This window comes from Homo sapiens, chromosome 5 (assembly GCF_000001405.40).
Source record: "Homo sapiens chromosome 5, GRCh38.p14 Primary Assembly".
Lineage (NCBI taxonomy): Eukaryota > Metazoa > Chordata > Mammalia > Primates > Hominidae > Homo > Homo sapiens.
The window spans coordinates 68068109-68077622 of NC_000005.10; positions in this window are offsets into that span (position 1 = coordinate 68068109).

Consider the following 9514-nt stretch of genomic DNA (forward strand, 5'->3'; position numbering starts at 1 on the left):
ACTGTGCTCCAAAAATGACAGCTGGAGGCAAACCCCAACAGCCAATTAAATTCAGAAGTGACAGTAGAAAGCAGACCAAATATTTTTATAGAAAAGTTTTGTCCATTTGAGAAGTGGTAAAAAAAGACTGGGATTGCTCAAGAGCCCTTTCAACAGGTCCAATTTGGGACACAGAAATTTAATAATGAAATGATGTGGTATTTTGAGGGACATTAAAGATGCTACATACTGTTTTCATCAGGCACCCTGACTCAAGCACTGAATGTATTTTCTAATGTCATTTGTCAGAGCCCTTAAAGCCAATGCTGTTGACAACAGCTGAGGGGCCTATGAATCACCAGCTCCAGCCTGCAGGAGAATGCCGTGTACAAACTACGTTGACTTAATTGGACTGAAATTTAGAAGCTACACATTGACCTCCGAAGTGAGTACATTAGTTGTCCTCTGGAGTCGACCCTCAGTTAACAAAGATATGCATTTGGATTAACTCACATGCCCTTCATTTCTTTGAGTTCACTCAAGCGAAGCCATTTTTAAAGATGGTCATGAACAATGCCCATTGAGCAACGTCCTGAAATCAGCTGAGTGACCCTAAGGGCTACTTTCTAAAGTCCTCTTCTGTGTCACTCATTCTTTCTCTCCAGTCAACCAAACGCCATTTTCCTGAGCCCCGTGGGGATCTTTGGCTTGATACCTAATAGTTTGCTACTTTTGTATCCTGCAGGTGGTTGCAAGATGGAAGATAGGGATACATCTATTTCTAAAGTGTAATTTATTTTTTTTTAATTTTTATTTTATTTTATCCTTTTGAGATGGAGTCACCCAGGCTGTTGTGTAGTGGTGCCAACTCAGCTCACTGAAACCTCCACCTCTCCGATTCAAGGGATTCTTCTACCTCAGCCTCCCAAGTAGCTGGGATTACAGCACCTGCCACCACGCCCGGCTAATTTTTTGTACTTTACATTAGTAGAGATGGGGTTTCACCATGTTTGCCAGGCTGGTCTTGAACTTCTGGCCTCAGGTGATCTGCCCACCTCGGCTTCCCCAAAGTGCTGGGATTACAAGCATGAGCCACCGCACCCAGCCTAATGTAATTAATTTTAATACCAGGTGTAAATATTTGAAAACTGAAGAAGTCTGCAAAAACTGACATTTCTGATTATACCATGCTCCAAGAGGTATTTTATAGTTAGAGTTTGTTTCTGGGCACCTATGATAAGTATACTAGTCTCAGGAAAAAGCGAAGTCTTATCACTATTCTAAAGTTTCACCTACTTAAAAAAAACGCATCTGCGTAAGGAATTCATTTACAGTACAATTGTCACAATTGTACATTTATTTTTTCTACTTGATTTTGTTTTTTACTCTTTCTTGCTATTGAATAAATTTTATAAATCTACATAAATAATAAACCTCCAAATTTCAGGTTAAGATATGTTTATGTGTAAAAGACCCTTTTTAAAAATATCATGTTCATAATAAATGCTACAAAAATAGCCTACAATATTTCCAGTTGTATTAAATTTACCTAGGAGTTTAAAACTAACAGGGATTTAAAATAAACTTAAACAAAAAAATGTTGATACGTTTATCAAACTGGAGATTTAGTAGAACCAGCTAAATCTGGATGCCAGATCCCATAACATTTTTGATCAAGAAATATTTTGGCCCGTATAGTCAGTGTCTCTACGTCCTGGGAGACAGAACGAGAGACTCTGACTCAAAAAAAAAAAAAAGAAATTAGTAAAATCTCATTGCACTCATCATATGCATGGAGATGAAAATGTCTTGTAATGCGATGTAAATTTAATCAAGCTTCCTATTATTATTATTATTATCATCATTATTTTTGACACGGAGTCTCGCTCTGTCGCACAGGCTGGAGTGCCGTGGCCCGATCTTGGCTCACTGCAAGCTCCGCCTCCTGGGTTCACGCCATTCTCCTGCCTCAGCCTCCCGAGTAGCTGGGACTACAGGCACCTGCCACCACGTCCGGCCAATTTTTTGTATTTTTACTAGAGACGGGGTTTCACTGTGTCAGCCAGGATGGTCTCAAACTCCTGACCTCGTGATCCGCCCACCTCGGCCTCCCAAAGTGCTGGGATTACAGGCATGAGCCACCACGCCTGGCCCTAGCTCCCAATTTTAACACCCACAAGACATTGGGAATAAATACAATGGTGAACAGTCAATAGAACGTTTCTATTCTCCCAGGTAACACTAAAGCTCTCTTTTGGTGCTCATGCAGCTTAGTCTCCTCGCTCTAGGTTTATTTTCATTTTACTTTTCAACTCTTTAGAGATACCAACTATTTTGAACTTATAATCACGTAAAGCTGTGAATCGAGTTCCATTTTCTTTTTTTCTTTTTATATATCTTACAATACGTGGGACAAATTGAAAATTTTGAAGTTCTAAAATTCTGGTTTTTATTTTATCCATTTGTGCCTCAGGCACATGCCTTTGAAAACTTAAGATGACACTGAAAAATTCCCTTGGGGACTTTCTAAGATGACTGTCCCTTAGCTTGGTTTCACTAGCAAATTGCTGGCCTTCTGAGGTTGCTGTACAGCTCCATGTGCACAACAGCAACAGAAAAGGATGTGATATGGGTGAGCACATGTGACTCCACACACACTTTCTCCCTGGAGATAGTCCTTCAGATGACAGGGGAACCAAAACGTTTCCAAATATGATTTAAGAAAACCAAATATTTGAATTTTTTTAATGAATACTAAAATTCTGACTCAATATGGTACCACAAGCCAAGATGACAGAAGGTGACTAGTATGACTCAAGTCATGAAACCAACAAGCAAATAAAATTTCTGTTCACAAAAAGATATTCAAAATGTGGTCCTAGTGCATGATTTAGAATAATCCTAACTAAGGAGTGAAACTATATTGTTTAATAGAGTTACAGATCCATGAAGTCGTTTAGTCTCCAGAAATCTCAGTTTACTACACAGATGGATTTATAACAACCTCTAATGGGTGTAACTTAAGATGGAACAGATGACTCTACCAGTGGATTAATCAACCTCTTCCAAACTGCAAATTAAAAAAGAAACAAATCAAACACTGCATTTTCCTCACAGATGTTTAGCAAAACATATTCAGTCTTACTCCTATAATTACAGCATTAGGAGAGTTTTACCAGCATCAAAGTAAATAAAAACATATCAAATGAAAGTTGATGAAAAACTAACAAGAGACTGAATAATAATTTTTAAAGATCTCACGGCCAGAAAATCTTATTGATTTCAATTATATATTCATTACTTTCAAACGGGGAGCCCTGGAGTTAGAAAATGTGACTCTTGTGGGGACCTGAGCTATGTTCTAACCACAGTATCCAACAAAATTCGTCTCCAACATCTGCAGTTGATTAAAAAAAAAAAAAAAAAAAAAAAAAAGTTTTTTTTTTTTTGGTGTTTTCTTTTTTTTTTTTTTTGCCAAGATTCATTTGAGCTTTTTTAGCACCAGAGGGAAAGAAAAAAAAAAAGAAAGAAAGAAAGCAGTAGAGATACCCCAAATCTGGGATATTCAAAGCAAATATTATCAATTGACCTTCACATTCGATGTTACATTGAGTACAAATAGCAAATTTTCACAGGTGATTTTCTATTAATGACTCTCCTACACGACTTCCGGGAAGTAAATGAGTCAGAGAGGACTAACCTCTCAAGAGATGTATTAACAAACATCCCATTCCCTCATTCCTTCGTTTCCTAATGCTCACGTGACTTAACCACACAAAATCATGGTAGTGTTGCCTACAAACTGACCAAGGTTAGACATCACTTGCATTGTCTCAATCTCTGAACAGCAGCCAATCAACATGCTCAATACTCTCAACTCTGCTCAAGGCTCTTGGAAGATGGAATGATAGAGGGGCAGTCAATCAAAGCTATAACTACCTCAGCTCCCGCCAGTCTGTCTCCACTCAAAGTGTCCATTTAGCCGGGAAGCACAGCAAAATTTATAGCCAGGACTTTTATTGTGCAGAGCTTTAACACTGTAAGGAACCCTATACTCATGCCTGAAAGCCTTTAAGAAGGGCAGACCCAGAATTTGTTTTAACCAATAGGCAAGTTCAATAGCCTACGCAGTGATAAGCCTGAAATTAATCAGTTTGACATTCACAAATCTCCCAAGCTATTACTTTGCATTTTATATCTGATGATGCCACAGGTTAAAAAAAATACAGCATTCATCCCATTTTTTATACATTTTCTTTTTGCACAACATGTCTGAAGTGGCAATCTCTTTTTTTTTTTTTTTTTTTTTTTTTGAGACGGAGTTTCACTCTTGTTGCCCAGCTGGAGTGCAATGGTATGACCTCGGCTCACCACAACCTCTGCCTCCCAGGTTCGAGCGATTCGCCTGCCTCAACCTCCCGGGTGGCTGGGATTACACGTATGTGCCACCACGCCTGGCTAATTTTGTATTTTTAGTAGAGATGGGGTTTCTCCATGTTGGCCAGGCTGGTCTCGAACTCCCAACCTCAGGTGATCGCCAGTCTGGCCTCCCAAAGTGCTGGAATTACAGGTGTGAGCCAACGTGCCCAGCCTTCTCTCTCTCTTTTTTTTTTTTTTTAATTTTTTGTGTGTTTTGGGTTTTTTAAGTTAATTTTTTGTATGTTTTGTGGCGTTTTTTTTGTTGTTAATTTTTTGTGTGTTTTGTTGAAGAGGCTGATGGAGAGGCCCATGAAAAAACAGACCCACTTCTCTTTACTCCAACTTTTTTTTGTTGTAGTTATTTTTGAGATAGAGTCTCACTCTGTCACACAGGCTGAAGTGCAATGGCATGATCTTGGCTCACTGCACCCTCCGCCTCCTGGGTTCAGGTGATTCTCCTGCTTCAGCCTCCCCAGTGACTGAGACTACAGGTGTGCACCATCACACCTGACTAATTTTTGTATTTTTAGTAGAGACAGGGTTTCACTATGTTGGCCAGGCTGGTCTCGAACTCCTGACCTCAGGTGATCCACCCACCTCGGCCTCCCAAAGTGCTGGGATTACAGGCATGAGCCACTGTGCCTGGCCTTCTTTAATCCAATTTCTCAGGAGTCATGCCTTGGTGCACCACATAAAATGTCAGTGCTTCCTTCAACCCCGAAACACAAGTACATCATATCCCACTTCCCAGCTTTATTTTTTCTCCCTAGTAATCATCACTTTATATACACTATCTTATGTATTTCTCTTATTTATTTTGCTTATTGTCTGTCCTTTTCAGTGGACTGTAAGTTGCACCAGGATTGCAGGCAAATGCCTCTGTATTGCCTGTCAATAGATTACGATGTGGCTATGTGTTCATTCAACAAGTTATTGAGCACCTACTATGTGCCAGGCCTTGCTCTAGGTAAACAAAACAGACAAAAATTCTCCTTTTCCTGACTTTTCCATCAATGCTAATGTGCCTCACTGTGGGATTATCTATCAAAGCTATTGTGTTTCACTGTGGGATTATTGGAAATGAAAGCCATTTTTTAAATGACATTCTTAGCCTGATCTTTTCCATAGGCAGTTGATCACAGGAGACAAGCTGCTTGTAGATTAAGTTGACATAGGCACAAGTCAGGAAAAGAGATTATTGTGTTATGATCACTGCTGCATCTCCAGCACCTAGAGCAGGGCCCAGCACATAGCACATGCTCAGTAAATATTTGTTGAATGAAAGGATTTGCCCATCATCATAATTTACTGTCATAGGAAATGATTACTCTATTTCGTCTCCTCACTCTTAATGGGTTTCTAGCCTGGAATCCCAGTGTCCTCTCCTGAAGAATCAAGCCTAAACCTCAGCTTCTCACCCCACCTATATCCCAATCCTCAAATCTCACTAATTTAGTCCTGGTAGCTAATCTGATAAACTAAACCTGCAGAATAATAGTAATTGAATACGTCACCCTTTCACATATAATTAATGATCACTTTAACTATGACTTAAAGCCATAGACTCAAGCAGTGACTATTGTGGCAAATCAAGTTCCAAGTGTCCTACTCTTATCCCTACCCCTCTCCCTACCATTATAACAACATGGGTGATCAACTGGGCTAGAAGGAGTTTTCAGAGGCTTCTAATTAATTGCGCAATTGTCCTCAGGCTGGGCATCAGGCCAATCACATACAGGAGATAATTGGAGGGCAGCTATTAAACTAGGTAAGGAGTCAGCAAATCTTTTCTATAAAAGGTCAGATACAATGTAAATATTTCAGGCTTTTAGGACCATATTCCACTCTGCCATTGTAGTGCAAATGAAGCCACACACAGTATAGAAAAATATGTTCCTGGCTGTGTTCTGATAACACTTTATTTACAAAAAACAGGCTGTGGGTCAGTCTGTGTCCACAGGCCATGGTTTGTTGACCCCTGCTCTAGACCCAGGTGATATGTAAAATAATCCCAAACCCTACTCTCTAGGCCCTTAAAATTGAATATGATCCTGTTGCTTAATTAATTACAACTAAATGTATCACAGGTATCTGCACACCTAGTGGTTATTTTTCATAAAAGAAAAAGATGATAGTCATTTCCTGATAAAAATTAAATTGTCTCTCTCTCTCCCCTTCTCTTTTTATGTGTTCACCCACTCATTCTCCAGAATTCACCCCCACCCAGTGGCAGCTATGGTACCAGCTTAGGCCTCCCTCAGGAAAGCAACTTGCCACTCAGCCTCAAGGAGTGCTGTTAGGTGACAGTCTCCAGGGACAACGCCTTCAGTGTCTGCCACAGTGTCACTCTGAGCTATGGTCTTTCCAGGCAGCTCCCAGCCAATGACTGAGCATGGTGGAGCATCAGGACCCAGAATCAGCCCTGGCTGGTGGTGGACTCCTCACAGGCCAGCTTGGCACCAAAACTTCCTATTGGGTTGGCCAAGCTCTGTCAGATGTGAATTACAGCCAGAGAATTTCCCAGGCCGGGTCTGCTATCCTCTCCTTTTCCTGTTCTAGGCATCAGCTCTGGATCACTGTCTGATTTCCCCTGCCCAATCTGGTTTCCTATCTCTTTATCTTTCAGACATTCTACAAAAACAACAACTTCTACAAAACAACAACTTCCCCCACCCCAAGGGAAAAAAAAAAAAAAAAGAACACTGTACTCTTAATTCCTATGGATGAGTATTTGCCTCACTTCCCCTCCCCGCCAGCCCCTACTCACCTCCTATTCTATTGAGATCCTTAATACGTTTATGTTATTTTGAAAATCTCAAAGTGGGTCTATGAATACTTCAGTGAAAACAAGAAAAAGAAAGTTCTCCTGCTTCTCAGTGATACCTTGATATAGTTTTGATCTTATACTTAAAGATAAGTTTAAACTTACTCTTCCAAATGTTTCTCAAATCACTGTTAGGGACTGGGGGAGTGATCACAGTACCTGCTCGTGTCATCCAAAGTGGACAGAGGGTCAGGGCTGTTTTGAAGGGCTACACTTATGAATACAGGACACATCCAAGCAGTAATTATTGTCCAGAGACCCTGAGTTTCAGTACTAGGCCAAGACCCATACAACTAGCACCTTCCAAGATCTAGAAGAGATGGGATCCATAGGTCACAAACCTATTCAGATGAGAGCACCAATTAAAGGGAGGTTTTGTCACAACCACTTTGGAAACTATCTGGAAGCACAGGTGACAGAGTGTCCCTGACTTGAGTCCCTGAGCGATAGCAGTTGCCTGGGAACCACTAGAAGAAGCCAGGGCTCCCTTCTCTATATCCTGGAGGCAGAGTGCATTTCATTAGAAAGCAGTGCTTGAAGCCTACTTTAAGGAGCTCTGCTCAGCTCCCATAAAAGACACAGAAAAGCCCACAGTGCCTACAATGACACTGACAACTGGTCCCTTCTTGCAGTTAGCTGACAATATAAAAACAGAAGAAAACAAGAGGAGGTGAAGAAAAAGGAGGAGGAGGAGGAACAGAGAAGAAGGAAAAAGATGAGAAGAAAGAAAATTTAAAGTAAGACACAAAACCAGGTAGGACGTGAGATTTGTTGTTCAAGGCACAAGCAATTAATGAATCATTGCAATTGATTATTAACGTCTGTTCCGAGCTTCCTGACCGCCCAAGGCTTAGAGGAAAGGCAAGTCTTCTGATGAGGTGAACTCTTTGTGGGCCCAGATTTCTGGGAATCCATCCATTCATGAGAAGTGTAGCCAAGTCATTTCATTTTCCTGGGCCTCAGTCTCCTTACCTCAATAAAACTAGGGCTTGTATTAGATGAACACTGGTTACCATCACTGCTACTATTCTGTGATTACATTGAGCCCAGAAAATCAAGAGAATCTCTCAGGACTTATCAGCCACTCTACCTCCCCCCATTCCTATAAACCTATGGGAGTTTTTAGGGGCCAGGGGTGGATGTGGAATTTATATTTTCTCCCACATACTATTGGCCAGAGTTCAGTCATACCTTTACCCCATCTGCAAGAAAGGCTGGGATAGAATTCACCTGTGCACCCAAGAAGAACGACCCAGTTTGGTAAGCATCTAGCCAGCAGTCATTGAAGGCTCTGCTTCAACATTAACCAGTGAGAACTAACCACTCTCACTTTGAGCCTCCACTCTACTTATTCGTGTTTCAGTCACGATACCTTTGACAAAAGATTGCAAGTGTGTGTCTCCTTCTCCATCTCCTCTCATTGACTATAAGAACCTTAAAGATAAAGCGTATTTCTTACTTACCTCTGGGCTCCCAGTGGCTAGCACTATGCACAGTGCCTGGTGCATGCTAATTGTTCAATAAATACTGGTTTGAGAGAAAGAAGACAGGGGCAGCGGTGGGGAGAGAGAGGGAGAGAGAGAGACAGGAATAAGTAAAAGAATTGTGTAGATAATAACAAATTTACCTCTTTACTCAAAAACCATCAATAGCTCCCCATTGCTCGGAGGATTACATCCAAATTCCTCATTATGACACTCAAGATAATCCTTTCTTACCTCCCCAATCTTAATCCTATTACTCAATATCATGAAAGTGGTTAGCTCATTTTGTTCTTTCCTTCCCTCTTTCTTTCATTCCTTTCTCTTTTCTCTCTCCCTCCCTTTCATTCCCCTCTTCTCCTTGCTCTCCTTCTTTCTTTATTCTACTTTTACTCATTGACCTGACACTTCAGCACCTACTATGTGTCAGGAAACTTGCCAGCTACAGGAGATACAAAGATAAGTTGACTTCAGAGTCTGCTGCAAATAGACTTGGTGGACAGGCAAGTCCAATGTGCCCTGAAAGCTGAGGTAGTTTAGAAGCTCAGAAGAGGAGCAACTATGCAGACTGAGGGAAGGGGGAAGAGGGGCAGAGGGCACAGAAGGCTCAGAAAAAATGGCAATCCCTTAGTGGATTCTCAAAGGCTGAATGGGCTTGTTCAGACCCAAAATGGTGGGACGGAAATTGCTGGCAAGAAGTATGTACCCAGGTATGGAGACGAGTGCACGCACAGCACACCTGAAGAGCTCCAAGTACTTCCCTTATCTGCAGAATGAAAGCAGAAAGCTTTTGACAGATGGGGCGGGCCAG